Source organism: Homo sapiens, chromosome 10 (genome assembly GCF_000001405.40).
Source record: "Homo sapiens chromosome 10, GRCh38.p14 Primary Assembly".
Classification (NCBI taxonomy): Eukaryota; Metazoa; Chordata; class Mammalia; order Primates; family Hominidae; genus Homo; species Homo sapiens.
The window spans coordinates 95,862,336-95,879,476 of record NC_000010.11 but is presented as its reverse complement, the minus strand read 5'-3'; the positions used below and the strand labels follow the sequence as shown (position 1 = coordinate 95,879,476).

General features: G+C 41.5%; 1 protein-coding gene and 1 long non-coding RNA gene across 30 annotated transcripts in view, besides 3 other annotated features; one reads left to right on the top strand and one right to left on the bottom strand.

The window, feature by feature from the left end:
- ENTPD1-AS1 (ENTPD1 antisense RNA 1) overlaps positions 1 to 17,141 on the top strand; it is a 337,030-nt gene that overhangs the window by 210,759 nt on the left and 109,130 nt on the right. Inside the window, exon 3 of the long non-coding RNA NR_038444.1 lies at positions 2,817 to 2,959. This is a non-coding gene — a long non-coding RNA (ENTPD1 antisense RNA 1). The remainder of the gene's footprint in view (positions 1 to 2,816; positions 2,960 to 17,141) is intronic.
- The window catches only part of ENTPD1 (ectonucleoside triphosphate diphosphohydrolase 1), a 183,082-nt gene continuing 168,151 nt past the window's right edge, over positions 2,211 to 17,141 (bottom strand). For 20 of the 29 annotated variants that reach the window (NR_199793.1, NM_001440933.1, XM_047426024.1 and 17 more), the window contains 2 exons: positions 14,616 to 14,753; positions 2,211 to 13,300 (listed from right to left, as the gene is read on the bottom strand). Coding sequence is in view for 28 of the 29 variants with exons in the window: in NM_001440933.1 (NP_001427862.1) it covers positions 13,094 to 13,300; positions 14,616 to 14,753 (345 nt within the window). In the remaining variant the exon portion in view is untranslated. Of the gene's footprint in view, positions 14,754 to 17,141 lie in introns of all 29 variants that reach the window. The other 9 variants (NM_001320916.1, NM_001440937.1, NM_001440942.1 and 6 more) reach the window with 6 other exon arrangements.
- Positions 13,891 to 14,185: a silencer, noted in NCBI's record as "tiled region #13404; K562 Repressive DNase matched - State 12:CtcfO". NCBI's record gives its function as "represses a minimal TATA promoter and a strong SV40 promoter by Sharpr-MPRA in K562 cells {active_cell/tissue: K562}" and the evidence as "EXISTENCE:reporter gene assay evidence [ECO:0000049][PMID:27701403]".
- Positions 13,891 to 14,233: a biological region, named in NCBI's record as "Sharpr-MPRA regulatory region 13404".
- Positions 14,004 to 14,233: an enhancer, noted in NCBI's record as "active region_3812". NCBI's record gives its function as "activates an Ori minimal core promoter by ATAC-STARR-seq in GM12878 lymphoblastoid cells {active_cell/tissue: GM12878}" and the evidence as "EXISTENCE:reporter gene assay evidence [ECO:0000049][PMID:35858748]".

The window sequence follows — 17,141 nt, the reverse complement described above, 5'->3', positions numbered from 1 at the left end:
CTTTTCAGGACCACCCACTTCCTGTTAACATAAATCCTGATTGGTATTTAAACAAGTCAGTCATTTTGTTCTCTACACTAAGGAATGGTATTTTATTTCAATGAAACACTCAAACTTCTTTCAAATTAGGGCATTTGTATAAACATTCAAAAGTGGTATAAAATTATCACTCAATATTTGTTGCGCTATAGATTCAATTTACAACCGAGGTTATTTCTGATTGCTATGAATTGAAAATACCCCATTAAGTTATTTCTTAGGATTGAAGTAAATATAACTTACATTTAAATAGTTTAATTCTTGACCATAAAGAATATCAGAAACAGGCCAGGTGCAGTGGCTCACATCTGTAATCCCAGCACTTTGGAAGGCCAAGGCGGGTGGATCACCTGAGGTCAGAAGTTTGAGACCAGCCTGGCCAACAATGCAAAACTCTGTCTCTACTAAAAATACAAAAGTTAGCTGGGCGTGGTGGCAGGCGCCCGTAATCCCAGCTACTTGGGAGGCTGAGGCAGGAGAGTCACTTGAACCCGGGAGGCAGAAGTTGCAGTGAGCCAAGATTGCGCCACTGCACTCCGGCCTGGGTAACAGAGTGAGAGACTCCATCTCAAAAAAAAAAAAAAAAAAAAAAAATCAGAAACATAAATGTAAAGGCCATGATTTTTAGACAAGGGTCTTAAAAATATTCCTTATAGATGTGCTACAAAAAATATTTTTGACATACACAACCCAGTAGTCCTTTCTTCTATCATTCAGTAGTTTTTAAATCTGTATCACTGAGGTGAGAGCATTAGCAGATCACTGCCCTCAGAAATTGAAGTGCAAGGCAAGGAGAAAAGTAAAGCATGGCACCCTAAAGGGAAAGAACAAGAGAAGGAAGGATATAAAAAGGTATAGAAATCAAAAGAAAAGTCAGGAAAAGAGAAGTGCTGGAATAGAAAAACTGGAATAGAAAATAAGGCCACAGAAGAGAGAAAAGGTTGAAGGGACACAAAGAGGTGTATAGAGAAAGTCATTATGTGCCTTTCCCCGATTTACAATATATTTTCTCCAGTTATCTATGACATTATTCTGTATATACCTGGTTAGATGTTAACTCCTGCCTGAACCTAGTGTGGGTTATTTTGGTATTTCTTTAGAGACTACTCAGTTTTTCTCTCATAACTTTTCTACTAATATCTCATCTATCTTCCTCACCTTCTTCACTTGACAGGAATCTTGGTACCAATAATTGCAGAGGTAGAAGTCAGAGGTAAATATTGATTTAGCTATGGGATAATCTTTCTCAACCCTATCCCTAATCACTCCCATTGATATGTAAACATGTTAGAAAATAAGTGTTTCATGAATTCACACATATTCAGGGTTTAGATACAACCTCTACAGAGGTTGGCCAGGACCTCTTGAAATGACTGTCACTTCTCCTTCATGGCTTGGGGTTGCAAAACTGATCAGTTTATCTGTACCTAGGTTTCCAGTAGCTAGCAGTTGGTACCAGTTAAACCAGAAATTGTTTCATTTCCCTTATGATAATATAGCTCTATTCCATAATTATAATTCTACACCCTAACTCCAACCCACTGTCTTCCATTGTACAAGATAAAAGACAATGCTGGTCAATAAAAATTCCTTGCTTCTCTTAGGAAAACCTCTCTATTACTGATGGTGGGTTGGGTTAGGAATTTTATAGTATTCCAAAGAGAGCATATAAAAAGGCCTTTTCTCAAAAGCCTTCCTTTTTCTTCCCTCTTGTCACTCAGTACCAGATATGGGGTCGGGGTTACAAGTACACTATATGAAAGAATGAGTTTCAATATAAATGGATATTCCATGTTGAACTAAGCTACTCTATTAAAATCAGATTCAAGTTTTTGTTTCAAATTACCAAGTTTTTCATACTTCCCTAATTTCTTCATCTACTACAGACAGGATTAAAATGACTCAAAGGTATTCCAATCAAGTGGAGAAACCTAAAGGAAAAATTTAGTTATCCTAAAAAGCCTTGGCCTAAGAAAAAATAAGGCAGATGACAGCCAGACAGGATTCCTCCTACCCTCTTCCTTTTAACTGACCCACTACTGACAGATCCATACAATACAGCATGTTATAAATTTGGGTTAAGAAGGGATTGCAGTTGGAAAAAAATAGAGTTCTCTATAAACACTATGAAACAGTTACATTTAAAACATACTAGAATTGTCCCACAAATGTATATTTCAGAAGAAGTTTATTAAGAGGTTTTAGGCTTTAAGCATATGTGAAAAGCAAAAATTACATTTTAAAGTATATAATTTGCATTTTCCACCTTCTCAATGCCAATGAAATATTCTAGGAGACTCTATAAGATAACCAATTGATTTTCTACTACTCCCAAATTTTAACTTTGTAATTTAAAGAGGAATAGGCAAATAGAGCTGCTGTGGTTCTGGTTCTCCCTGCAGGATGAAGGGGGCCTGCAAAATGTCTCCTACTTCCATTCTAGTCATTCAGCAAGGTGCCTTCCTCTGGATGCACTGTCTGTATACTTTTGCCATGTTGCATCACATAATGATTCTGCCCACCTTCACCATTTGACTGTCAGTAAAAGAATGTATGTGCTCATTTCTTCTTTTATTATAGCGCAGTGCTCTTCATGAAGTCTGAATCTTGTTTCATTTGTGATTGTAATTAGCACTTGCTTCTTCAAGACTGGCTAAATGATGATAATCAGTGAAGTTCTGTGATGGGCACATGGATGTGTATTATATTTTTCTACTTTGGTTAATATTTGAATATTCCAATAAGTTTTAAAATAACTTGTTTGTTTCTGTTATTAGAATGGCCTGTCCAGAAGACAGCCAAATACATCCTTCAAACAGACTTCACTGCAGGAGACAGAGTGGATTCATCCTGTATTCTCCATGTAGACTTCCATCTTCATGAGTACTCCAAGAAGATGGTTCAGTTGACTATTGCAAAGGTAAAAATCCAAGAGATACAGATACAGAATAGGACAGAGAGACATATTTTTAAGCTATTGATTACAATTATGGTATGCCTATAGATTGCAGAACCGAGGAGAAAGGGAACATTATGATTTACCATCAAGAAAAACTTAGAATTGGTGCTGAGTAGTTCATTCTAAGAATTACCATTTATCTGTATTTGCCCCCATTTTCATTGTTACTAGGCCAAAAGTCATTTCATAATTAATAAGTTGGATGTCAAAATCAACTTGTGTTATTATAAAATTAGCAATCTACATTATGTGTTTCTTTACATTTTTATAGGAGTATTTATAAATATACCTAAGAAAACTGACAATGTGGAGTACAAATGTTGCATTTTCAAAACTGGGAATCTGTTTATTGAGGCTCTATTTTTAGTTATGTATGATAATAGACTGCATTTCAGGTTTCAAACCTTGTAAAAATAATTTCCTTATGATATGTTTACTCATTTTGCAAATAATTATTGTGTCATATAGCAAGAGATTGTACTTCCATTCAGCTGGTTAAAGTACAAAATCATTGATATGGTTTGGCTGTGTCCCCACCCAAATCTCAACTTGAATTGTACCTTCCAGAATTCCCACAGGACCCAGGGGGAGGTAATTGAATCAAGGGGGCTGGTCTTTCCCATGCTATTCTTGTGATAGTGAATAAGTCTCACGAGATCTGATGGTTTTATCAGGGGTTTCTGCTTTTGCTGCTTCTTCATTTTTCTCTTGCTGCTGCCGTGTAAGAAATGCCTTTCACCTCCTGCCATGATTCTGAGGCCTCCCCAGCCAGGTGGAACTATAAGTCCAATTAAACCTCTTTTTGTTCCCAGTCTCAGGTATGTCTTTATCAGCAGCATGAAAATGGACTAATAGTACCAGTAGAGTGGGGCATTGCTGAAAAGATACCCGAAAATGTGGAAGCAACTTTGGAACTGGGTGTTGAAATAATCTGGAGGGCTCAGAAGAAGATAGGAAAATGTAGGAAAGTTTGGAACCTCCTAGAGACTGTGAATGGCATTGACAAAAATACTGATAGTGATATGAACAATAAGGTCCAGGCTGAGGTGGTCTCAGATGGAGATGAAGACCTTGTTGGGAACTGAAGTAAAGGTGACCCTTGTTATGTTTTAGCAAGGAGACTGGCAGCATTTCACCCTTGCCCTAGAGATTTGTGGAACTTAGAGCTTGAGAGAGATGACTTAGGGTATCTGGTGGAATAAATTTCTAAGCAGCAAAGCATTCAAAAGGTGACTTGGGTGCTGTTAAAAACATTCTGTTTTAAAAGGGAAACAAGAGCATAAATGTGGAAAATCTGCAGCCTGATGATGCAGTAGAAAAGAAAAACCCATTTTTTTTAAGGAGAAATTCAAGCTGGCTGCAGAAATTTGCATAAGCAGCAAGGAGCCTAATGTTAATCCCCAAGACCATGGGGAAAATGTCTCCAGGTCATGTCAGAGACCTTCATGGCAGCCCCTCCCATCACAGGCCCAGAGGCCCAGGAGGAAAAAGTGGTTTTGTGGGCTGGGCCCAGGGTCTCTGTGCTGTGTGCAGCCTAGGGACTTGGTGCCCTGTGTCCCAGCTGCTCCAGCCATGGCTGAAAGGAGCCAACATAGAGCTTGGGCTGTGGCTTCAGAGGGTAGAGGCCCCAAGCATTGGCAGCTTCCATGTGATGTTGAGCCTGTGGGTGCAGAGATGTCAAGAATTGAGATTTGGGAACCTCTGCCTAGATTTCAGAATATATATGGAAACACCTGGATGTCCAGGCAAAAGTTTGCTGCAGGGGCAGAGCCCTCATGGGGAACCTCTCCTAGGGCAGTGTGGAAGGGAAATGTGGGGCAGAGCCCCCACACAGAGTCCCTGTTGGGGCACTGCCTAGTGGAGCTGTGAGAAGAAGGCCACAGTCCCAGAACGGTAGACCCCAGAATGGTAGACCCCAGAATGGTAGATCAACCACCAACTTGCATCTTGTGCCTGGAAAAGCTACAGACACTCAACATCAGCCTGAGAAAGCAGCCAGGAGGGAGGCTGTACTCTGCAAAGCCACAGGGGCGGAGCTGCACAAGACCATGGGAACCTATCTCTTGCATCAGCATGACCTGAATGTGAGACATGGAGTCAAAGGAGATCATTATGGAGCTTTAAAATTTGACTGCCCCACTGGATTTCAGACTTGCATGGACCCTGTAACCCCTTTGTTTTGGCCAATTTCTCTCATTTGGAACAGCTGTATTTACCCAATACCTGTACCCCCCATTGTATCTAGGAGGTAACTAGCTTGCTTTTACAGGCTTGTAAGTGGAAGGGACTTGCCTTGTCTCAGATGAGACTTTGGACTGTGGACTTTTGGGTTAATGCTGAAATGAGTTAAGACTTTGGGGAACTGTTGGGAAGGAATGATTGGTTTTGAAATGTGAGGATTATGAAATTTGGAGGAGCCCAGGGAGGAATGATATGGTTTGGCTGTGTCCCCACCCAAATCTCAACTTGAATTGTATCTCCCAGAATTCCCACATGTTGTGGGAGGGACGCAGTGGGAGGTAATTGAATCATGGAGGCCAGTCTTTTCTGTGCTATTCTCGTGATAATAAGTCCCACAAGATCTGGTGGGTTTATGAAGAGTTTCTGCTTTTGCTTCTTCCTCATTTTGCTCTTGATGCCACCACGTAAGAAGTACCTTTTGCCTCCCACCTGATTTTGAGGCCTCCCCAGCCATGTGGAACTGTAAGTCCAATTAAACCCTTTTTGTTTCCAGTCTCAGATATGTCTTTATCAGCAGCATGGAAACGAACTAATACAATCATAGTTTTTAAAAACCAATCTAAATGTAACTATTGAACATGATTAGCTGTTTCATCCCTAGTAGAGTGACAGAAGGAAACATCCATAGACAGGAGTAATAAGAAACCAGCTAAACTTCTAAACCATTTTTAAAGGATGCGTGTGAGCTGGCATAACCTACCTACTCTTTCCTATGGGCCTCTACTGAGAGCATGGAGGTAATACATCTAATACACTGAAGACCAGGGCAAGAGAGCTGGAAGAAATCCCTCTTAAGCACTCCAGGCCTTCACTGAGTATGAGGTGCTGGTCTCCAAAGGCAGAGGGCAAGGCAAGGCAGAGAGGGATCTCCTGGGGCACAGACAACTGACAAAAGAAACACTTGGATTGTTGTATAAGAGGAGTGAGCTTTGTAAATACCACGTTAGCTGGCCTGCTGTGGAACAGAATGCCTGTGAATGACAGTAGTCAGGTAGTGGATGAACACTGATCTGAGAGCCTGTAAAAGAAACTCTTTGGAATGATAATGTCATCTAGACCTTTGATACGCAAAGTGTGATTCCTGGACAGATGTATTGGCTTTACCTGGCAGCTTGTTGGAAATGTAAAACCTCAGGCCTCACCCCAGACCTACTGAATTATTTATATTAATTAAAATTAAATAATTTTTATTTCAACAAAATCCCTGGGTAATTTGTATGTACATTAAATTTTGAGATGCATGATCTTTTAAGGTTCATTCTAATCCTTAAAATTCTGTTTTAATAATGTGTACAATGAAGTGCTGCATGGCAAACTACACAGAAACTAAAGGCATGTTCCAAAAAGGAAAAGTTCCATGTGGCTAGGGGAATAAAAGCTTCATCAGGGAACCAGGAGTTGGGCTGGTTCTTAAAACCTGGAGAAAGAAGATGGTTACATCAAGAGATAAATAGAGTGAAGCAGAACTAGTGGTGCGGACCAGCTCGCCAGCAACAGAAGGGTTTGTAGTCGGCCTGGCAGTGGACAGGGAGGTTGGCTAGAACTATTACCTTAGGTCCGTGATAATATCCCTGAATCCAACTTTTCAGAAAGAAATAGGTAACATATTTTTCACCAGGAAGCTTCACCCAGACACTGAACAGAATGGTCTCAGTGCACTAATGGAGGCTCAGTTAAAGGGTTGTGGTAGCACAAGGAAGAGACATTCTGACTTGGAAATTTGGAGAAGGCTTCACAAATGAAGGGGCATTTGAAATGAGCTTTGAAGGTGCAAGAGTATTCCAAGTTGAGAAGACAACCTGAGTGGTGTTGGGTGAACAGTCATTCTACCTGGCTGTAGTGTAGTATAGTGTAGTGTAGTGTAGGAAACATCAGAGGAGTGGAGTGGGATATGAGCCTGGAGAGAGCTGGCGGCCATGGATCATTGAAAGCCTTGAATGTCTGATGGGGAGGTTGACTTTATTTTGTAGGCAATGGAAAGCCACCAGTGGTTTTAGTTGAGCAGCAATGAAATTAAGCCTGTGCTTTGCAAAGATTAATCTAGCAGCAACAGATTGGAAGCAACACCACCATTCCTGGTATCAGTCCAGGTAAAATATATTACAGCTCTTTACTGGAGCAATAACAGTAATATTAGAAGGAGAAATAAAAAAGAAAAATATTGCACAGGCAGAATGGGGAGGTCCCAGTGATGGAGCTGATCTTGGTTCATTGAGGCAGGGGTGGCATTAATCATGTAAAACACAGGAGGAGGAACTGGGTTAGGAGTAATGGTAGAGTTCAGTTTAGGTAATTGCAAATACACACTATTCCCTGACTAGCTCCCAAGACTTTTTCTTCCCTCTCTTCTTAGAACTTCATTAGAAGAGGTGATGTTATTTCTTAGATGAGAGTATCTTACTTACCATTGACTAATACATGTTCTCTGATGAACTTTGCTATTCAACATACATGCAAAGGGGTTATAAAAACAAGTCAACTCTAGTGCTGATGAGGGTGATCATCATCACTGATCATGGTGTCAGTTGATTATAGTGTCAATTTATAACTTAATTTATGTAAAATAGAGCAATGCAAAAGACATAGCAATCTTCACTTCAAATGAAGAGTCTTGAATGCCACTTTTCTAAAGAGAAGGCTCATGGAGGCACCTCCTCACTATTGAAAAATCCATTATACCTGTGATAAAACTGATTGTGTTCAGTTGTATTAGATTTGTATGCAAATAAAAAGTTGGGTAATTAGCTATACATTGTCCTAAACGTATAAAATAAGAAAAATACATAGATGTATGGTTTCCTAGGACATCTACCAGTTTAGAATGCGAGGCTAATGTGGGAGCTGCCACAGCATCCTGATTAAGGCTATGGAAAGAAGTTGCAGACTGATGATGTCTTAGAAGTAATGACATTTTTTAAAGATAATATTTCTTTGGTGAGATAAACAGATTATATTTTACAGTAAACACATTTTATATTTCAGTTAATAAGACATTGTATATTAAATAATCGCATTTAATGCTTTACTTTTTTCCTGTGTTAAAATTAATCACTCATGGCCTTGGCCATATGACTTTGCCATTCCTCCCACTGTTTATCTGACTTGTTTATATTTTATTGAGCTTGCTCATATGACTTACAATAGCCTGTGACAGAAGTGACAGGAGACCCCATCCTGACCAAGACCTTAAGAGGCATCCTAGTTTCCTCTCACTTTCACGAGCCTCTGCGGGGTTCATCATGAGAACATATCCCTAGAAACCACTGGACAAGGAGAACAAGAGGTATATGGAATAGGTCTGATCCACCCTTACCACCTGAAGTAGAGCTGCCCAGCTGGCTTGCAGACTCACAAACATGAAAATCAATGTTTACTGCAGCAATTCATGAAACTTTGAGGCTGTTATAAAAAGTAAAGGACCTAATACAAATGGAAAGAAACATGGTTAGTAAGCAAAGCTAGTTATGAGCAGCTGTCATGTTCTAACAGTTGGAATTTGAATCAGAGCAACTATTGGTATTTGAATCAGAGAGGGGCCAGACCAGTTTGGGTGAAACTCAGTTCATCTTTTAAACTGACAATAAAGGGAATATATTTTCATAGTAATTTTATCATTATGTGGCAAACTTTGTTCTGTGAGCTATTAAAATATTCATCTTGGCCAGGTGCAGTGGCTTACGCCTGTAATCTCAACACTTTGGGAGGCCAAGGCAGGAGGATTGCTTGAGGGCAGGAGTTCGAGACCAGCCTGGACAACATAGGAAAACCCTGTCTCTACAGAAAAAAAAATAGCTAGACATGGTGGTGCACACCTGTAGTCCTAGCTACTTAGGTGCACACCTGTAGCCTTGCTTGAGCTTGGGAGGTCGAGGCTGCAGTGAGCCATGATCATGCCACTGCATTCCAGCCTGGGCAACAGAGCAAGACTAGCTCCAAAAAAAAAATCATCTTTATTTTAATATTCAAATTTACATTTTGAGTATGGAATGTAAGCATCAAGAATTAATCTTTAAATCCAGATGAAACTTTCCCAAGGTCTCTTGTCATGCATCTTGGACTGAATAACAGGCATCCCTGCCTTCACATCTTCATGGGAAGGCAACAAAACCTGAGGAATACAACCTAGGATCTCAAAAGCTTTTTTAGGAATAATGTCATATATAATAAATAATAGCAAGAATGTTACAGCATCTATAGCTCTTTAAACTACCTCCCAAGGGAAAGACAATGAGGGCTTAGTTCCTGTGTCTTTTAAACTTTAACTTTACGTGTATTTTTTTGGACATGTGCTGTCCAGTATGGTAGCTACAAGCCACATGTGAGGTGAACACACAGCTAGTCCTAATTAAGATGTGCTGTAAATGTAATAGACACAAAATATTTTGAAAATTTAGTATGAGAAAAATATTAACAATTTTTATATTGATTCCTTGATAGTATTTTGGATTTAGTTGCTTTCTGAAAACTCTCCTGTGTTACCCAGTTTGAGTGTACCATACCATCCATCTCTTGCAGGGACCTTGACTGATACAACATTAAAATGAAGTGTAATTTTAAAAAATTTTATTTACATATTTCTTATTAAGAATTGGATGAATTGAAACTTCTTTATTTTCTTTCTCTTTCTTGTCACACAGAAAGCCTGATTAAGTAGCATTATTCTTTTGTCTACAGAAGTAACCACTTCTGGCCAGGCATGGTGGCTCACTCCTGTAATCCCAGCACTTTGGGAGCCCGAGGCAATAGGATCACCTGAGATTGGGAGTTGGAGACCAGCCTGGCCAACATGGTGAAACCCTGTCTTTACTAAAAATACAAAAATTAGCCGGGTGTGGTGGTGGGCACCTGCAATCCCAGCTACTCGGGAGGCTGAGGCAGGAGAATTGCTTGAACCCAGGAGGCGGAGGTTGCAGTGAGCCGAGATAGCACCACTGCACTCCAGCCTGGGCAATGGAGTGAGACTCTCTCTCAAAAAAAAAAAAAAAAAAAAAAAAAAGTAATGACTTCTGCTGATCTTTTTTCTCCCCTATAGGTTCATAGAAAAAAAACTCCCACCTTATAAAGGAATCTTTAAAAGGTTCCTCATAAAGGAACAGGGTTAGCAGAACCAAGTTTTGAGTCCTGGGTGAAAATCCAGGGGAGAATGGTAATCAGTGATAACCAATGGCCAATCCAATATTAAAATTAGTTAACAGTGACCAATCTTATTTCACCTACCCCACCCAGAGTGGCCCAAAGCAGATTGCTGGATCTGCCTCTAAACCAACCTTCCTGCCAAAATAATTGGGGTTAGGTTGTGTCTGCTGATTGTCTCCATAATTTGAGATTTTAACAAGTTGAGTTTGGCTCCCAAATACCTTAAAGGATTTTTTTTTTGGCATCTCTGGGGAGGGGGAGATTGGACGTAGGCAACCAAACAGGAATGGAATAAGAAAAGATTTGTGTTCTCTGAAGGAGACTTGTGAAGTCTAATTCCAACTTGCTGAGGGAAAGTGTTTAGAAAAGAAAAAGCAATAGGCTTCAACCAGAAGACATGAGTTGGAGTATCTGCTCTGCCATGTAGTAGTTTGTGTGATCCTCATTTGTAAAATGGAAATACTATTTACACCCTTATGGGTTGTTGTGAGGGTCAGAATAGATTGTGTGCATGACAGTGCTTTGTATACGCAGACAGAAGGAAAAAAGCGGCTGTTATTGGCTCAACTTATTTGACCTTTATTTTCATCATCATCGGCCACTATTTGATGTCAATCTACTATGCTGTGAGCAAACATTAAAATTAGGAAGCCAGGGGTATGGGAACCACTGATTAGCATCATATGCCAGATGTGCTTCCATCCAAAGCACATGAACAGAATGATATTAAATTACAAGCCTATCAGGAACAGACCAGCTTTCTGCCTCCCTTTCTATGAATACCAAGTCCCATGAACCTTGTATTCATGTGGAGTTTTAAGTGCATGCTTGGAAGTTATGAGGAGACAGCCTGGTATGTTCGGGAAAGAAAATAAAGGTTAGGTACATGGTAGGCTTTGGCTCAGCCATTTGGGCAAATGACTTAACCTCTCTGAACCTCAGTTTCTGTTTCTATGAAGTGGGAATTGTAATACCTACCTTCTTCAGATTGTTGTGAGGATTAAATGAGAAGATGAATGTAATACCCTTGAGCACACAGCGTGGTACACCACAAATGCTCAACCAACAGCAGCGATGACAGTATAGGCAACTACCACAAGAAAGAATTTGAACATGTCCCAATTCGAATTTTGATTCCTAATCAAGATCTAGTGAATTTAACCTAAGTAGCAGAAAAGAAGATTAAGAGTTCCTTTCCACAGCTTTATTAAGTTTTTATATTCACCTGGATGTTGTCAAAAGTGACTTGATCATTCAAGAGATAGGGGACATTTGGCTTCCGGTTTGTGTGAGAGCTTTTCTTTCCCCATCAGCTCAACAGTCAGTCCCCAGATCTAGAGATGGAGAGCTTGGGACAAGGTCAGAATGAAACATCACCAGTCAATCCTGCTCAACAGGTAACTCTTGCAGCAATCCTTAAGGAAAGGGGTGCAGGGTCTCTTCATGTTTCCATGGTAAGGTCTATAGCTGCTGCTTCATGGAATAAGCAAACAAAGCCCATGTTGTGTGACGGGTGGCAACACTTTCAGACTTGGATCCTGCACATTCTGATGTGTAAATTCCACGATAGGGCAAAAGCATGCCACTCCACACTAATGCTGCCCTCTCACTAAATTAAACCTTGGAAAAATAAGATGTGGCTTGGCTTTAAAACTCAGTGAACTATCTTTATGGTACAGTTGGTTTCCATAGCTGTAAACACAAAAGATCTATGGTTTCTGCCTACCCAGGATAGTCTTGTCTCTAGACAATGTATTGATGATGCAAATGTTCTGGAACTAAATAGTGGTGATGGTGGCACAACACTGTGAATGTACTAAATGTCACTGATTTGTACGTATTTAATATGAATTAAATGTTAAAATGGTGAATTATATTTATGTATATTTTACCATAATAAAAATATGCATTGGAAGATGCATTTTTTGTGACCCTGAGTTGTAACTGTATTTTTATTTGTGACATGTATATACCACCTACCTCATAGTAAGCCCTGATGTTTGAATGCATATATTTACATCTGCTTTTTGCAAATCTCAGGTCTGAGTGTTCCACTCTGTAGCATTTGGGTATCACCTAGGAATATGTGATTTATTGACATACCTGCTTTGGGTGGGATTGAGAACTGTATTGACTGCATGAGCACATATATTTCCTTATAAAACTCTTTGGCTTTAGCACATATTTGCCTACTGTAGAAAATTCTCCTACCCACAGAGCAGGCTGGGAATGGAATGTGTGTCTGCCTTCTCCAAAGGCATCATATGGCTTTCTTAATGGATGGCAAACAGGAGAGAGAAAGGGGTTCTTAAAGAGTACAACTGAACCAGTTCCTGAGATTCTTCTTTCAGCCAGCTCAGCCTCCTATCACAGGACTCAAGACTCTCAGTTCTTCTAGACAAAGTCAATATTGTTCTTTTATAAAGCAAAGATTATGAAAGGTGTCAGGTCTTTAAAACCTATACAAGCACAAAGTACAAAGGAGAAAGGTGTAGCTGGGAAAAACTCATGAAAGAGACAGTATCTGCCGAAGTCCTTGAGGCAAAGGATATTGAATACCTCCAAAAGAAAGGCTTCAGTAAAAGCCAAGGAAGCTTCACACTCGTCAAGACTGGCCCTGGCAGACAGGGAAGGATGGCCTTGAACACTGCGATGGAGGAAAATGCTCCCTGGACGATTTTTTTCCTCACTCCAGCCAGCATATTTCAGCTGCTTTTGCTATACCATATCTTTCCAGAAATATGAAGGCTTGTGAAAGATAAGCAAGCCTATGATGGCCACTGTGAAAAGGACCAGGGAGAATAGAACCATGAGGAAGACATAGGTGGAGTGGGAGAGAGGTGTGGACAATGGTTGCTCAGCTGGGATCATGTTGGTCAGGTTCAGCATGTAGCCCAAAGTCCAGCCGGCGTCGCTGCCCTGGATCTGCAAACAGTGGGGAAAGTCTGTTTGTGGTTGGAGGAGTTAGAAGAGTTATCACCTAGGGCTTAGAATTATTGGATCATGCATTGGAAGAGTTCAAACAATATAAATCACTGGCTGGGCACAGTGGCTCATGCCTGTAATCTCAGCACTTTGGGAGGCCAAGGAGGGAGGATCACTTGAGGCCAGGAGTTTGAGACTAGCCTGGGCAACATAGTGAGACCCTGTCTCTCTAAAAAATAAAATTAGCTGGGCACGGTGGAACATGTCTGTAGTCTCAGCTATTTGGGAGCCTGGGTGGGGAGGATCATTTAATCCCAGGAGTTTGAGGCTTCAGTGAGCTGTGATCATACCACTGCACTCCAGCCTGGGTGACAGCGTGAGACCATGTCTCTTAAAAAAAAAGTATATACACACACATACATCATGACTACCTCGTGTGTCAGTCCTAAATTTGACATAGGTATAATCTTTCAAACAAAATAAACTGCTGGAATTAAAGGAAGTCTGGAATATTATAACAAGGAAAAGATTTAAGTTTGAATTAGCAAGATCAGCACTGACAAGAGTGTAAGGACACTGTTATCCTCAGGCCTGCTACAGCCCTCTGTCTCAATGCTTTGTTTTGCTTGAAATCACCATATTTAATACAGGGGGTAAAATGTTTTCCCCACTAGTGAGCATGGGCTTAAAAAGGTAGAGACACACTGCTCTGGGTATTTTTGGTCAAGCATGAGTCGCTCAGCTGGGTTCTCTATTCCTGGATACCTGCAGGTGGTGCTATGGTAAAGCACAGCATTGAGGTTGCTTCTTCCGGACTCAGGCTAAGCCTGGCTTCTAAACAACGGTCTCATCATTCACAGCCACTCAGTCCCCTTCTTCACACAGAGCTTTCAGATTGGTCAACCTTGAAGTAATAACCAACAAGGATGATGAAACCATGATCATACTTTCCCAGCTTATGGAAGGGGCCTTTCAGAGGGCTGCTGAAGTCAGCACACAGAGTCACTGTAGCTGCTGAAATGCTGTTACTTTAATATATCTCGTTTTGTGTTTTGTTTTGTAAGGAATTAGTCACTGTTATGTGGGAAGGTGCAACTGAAAATGCAAGTAGCTGTCCTTAGCGAGGATGCTCACAGTGGGCCAACAGACCCAGGAGGGCTTGACACAGAATGCCAGGGTTTGAAGCAGAATGGCAGAACAGGACATCAAGCCAAAGCTACACCATGCTGACTCCCCCCTTTTTCAAGCCCCAAACTGCTTCAGTCACTACCACCGAACCCCAACCTCCCCCCAGCCCAACAGGCCCCCAAATTACCTTGCCAATGAAATGGATGTGCTCCCAGGAATCAGCTGTGAAATGATAGCCTTGCAGAAGGAGGGAGAGAATGTAGGTACCAGAAAAGCAGTATTCACTCAGGTACTTCTCCTTTACTCCAGCGTAAGATGTTTTTATCTAGAAGTGAAGTGAGGGGGAGATCATACTCGTATGATAGGCACCTCTCTGTGGCCCTCTTTTTCTCTACTAGCCCTGATGAAGAGAGGGGAAAGCCCCAGCTCCAGTGCACCTGAAGGTTGGCCTCTTCCAGAGGGTTTTGGGGGTGGTGCTGCACTCCTTCAGTGGGAGCAGGGTTTTATAGTTTAGGGTCTCTTAAGGAAGCTTTTCCTGCACAGGCTTCTATGAGATAATAACAGGTCCTCCAGGAAAAAAGTAGTTCCTGTGGTCTAGTAGGTTCTGAAACACTAAATTTCAGTACCTCTGTTCATGCCCTAGACTTTGTTTAATCTGAGTTTTCTATATGCTCTTGACCAGAGCCTTTGGCCCACAGCCATAAAAAGCCTTACCACTCACTTTAGTCCCTGGACTGGCAGCATCAGCATCACTTGGGAGCTGGTTAGTCCTCACCTTAAAACTACCAATTCAGAATCTGCATCCCAATATGATTCCCAGGTGATTCACGTGCACAGTAAAGTTTGAGAAACACAGCTGTGGACACAGTTTAGGCAGCATTTTGCTGAGGACTGCTAGCACTGCCAACATCTCACCTTCTATCTTCTGTCTTAATGTCTTTTTTTGCATCTGAGTCATGCAAAGTGGTTGTTTCCTTGAGTCCTTCCTATGTTTACTCATCCTACTCCCTACTAAAAATATTAAGAGCTGCTTGCCATCCCTTGCCCTTACCTAGCCTAGCTGTTGTGAATATACACCCAGATACCCACAGCCTGCTCTGCAACTCTCCTGCCCTCAATTTGAGGACAACAGGCCAGGACCTCTCTAGTTCAGCCTGGACTTCTGTCTGCTGCCCCATTCCTCAGCCCTTCAGATAGGCATTCCCTCCTGGATACCCTCGGCAGAGAGAGAACATTTGTTATGCATGCATCATGTACCATCTGGAACTATGCCAGATGTTTTATATGTAGTATCTCCTTGATGCCTAAACCACACCCCTCTTTTCCCAGATTTCTCTCCCTTCCGTGGGTCCTAACCCATATGCAAATCCTAACCGCTGGCTGGGGTCTGTTTCTCACTTGGTTCTTGCCTGTCCCCAGTTTCTGGAAGGATAAGTCCATAACTAGACTGCCTTGTCTTGCTCTGATGAAATTCTCAGAATGACCCAGCTTGGAGCTTGTCTTTTCAGCACAGTTCTGGAAATTATCCTTTGATTGATTCCTCTGCATGTGACATCCTCTTGAGACCTTGGTGTGGACATCAGTTGGCATTGCCTGTCCAGGTTCCTACCCCTTCCTTTCAGTCACTGCATTCTGCTTTCCCTTTGTGAAAAGACCTCCTCCCCTATTGAAGTAGTCTTGGGCCTGTCAATTGAAGGATGCCTATGGGACACAAAATCCCAAGAATCTACTTAGGTCCAACTTGAAAGTGCTGAGCCCCTGTAGGTCCTTGAAGGCTGGCCTATCCCTTGTGGGGGGCTGGGAGATGCCATTTTGGCCTAATTTCCCTGAATTCTTTAATACTCCTATTCCCCTCCTCCTTCTGGAAATCTGTACATTGGCTATGCAGTCTGGCCTCCTGAAGGTTATGATAGTAGCCAAAAATATAGAAGCCAAAAAGGCATCCACCTTCTTCATCAATCCAGAATTGATCATGCTCATGCCTGTGGGTGGATCACTATGTGCTCTCCAAATTGGGAGGGGAAGTCTACTCTCCTCTCTCCTCTCTCTCCCACCTTCCCCTCTCTCTTCTCTCCTTTCTATTCCCAGGGCAGTGGAACATGATGAGGTTCTTTTCTCTTCATGGATATCCTCTTTCTGCCCTCCACATAAAGGGGCATTGATGGATCTTCAAGAATGGGATGCCTTTCCCTAGAAAGGCTAAATATTCATGAGGCTGAATGTGAGGATCCAGAGTACACTGAAATATAACTGGTCATCAGTACACATAGAATCTGATCACATTGTTCACTTGGGCTGACCAGATCTTGGATGACCAGATTTTCAGAGTAGAAAATTGGCTGTGTTCTGGCTGCTGAAAGATTCTACTAGCCCTCTAATGAAGCTGCCAGAAGACAACCATGGAGTCTCCCTTCCACTCACTCTCCTGGTCCCTCCACTTCAGAGACCCAATGGCTTCAGGTACCTGACTGAGTGTCAGCAGGTGTGGTTTGCATTTTATTTCCCTTGCCAAAGCAGGGGAAGGCAGCATGATAGGATATGCATAAAGCACAGCAAGCAAATGTCCACCACTGTCAACACATAGTACATGCTTAAACATTGTTAATTATCTCTCTACCAAAGGTGTTTAGGAGGAACATTCCCAAACACAAGCCATACTGGAGTAGCAGTCCATGATGAAGTTAGGAGGGAAAGAAGAAAGAGTCACCTTCTA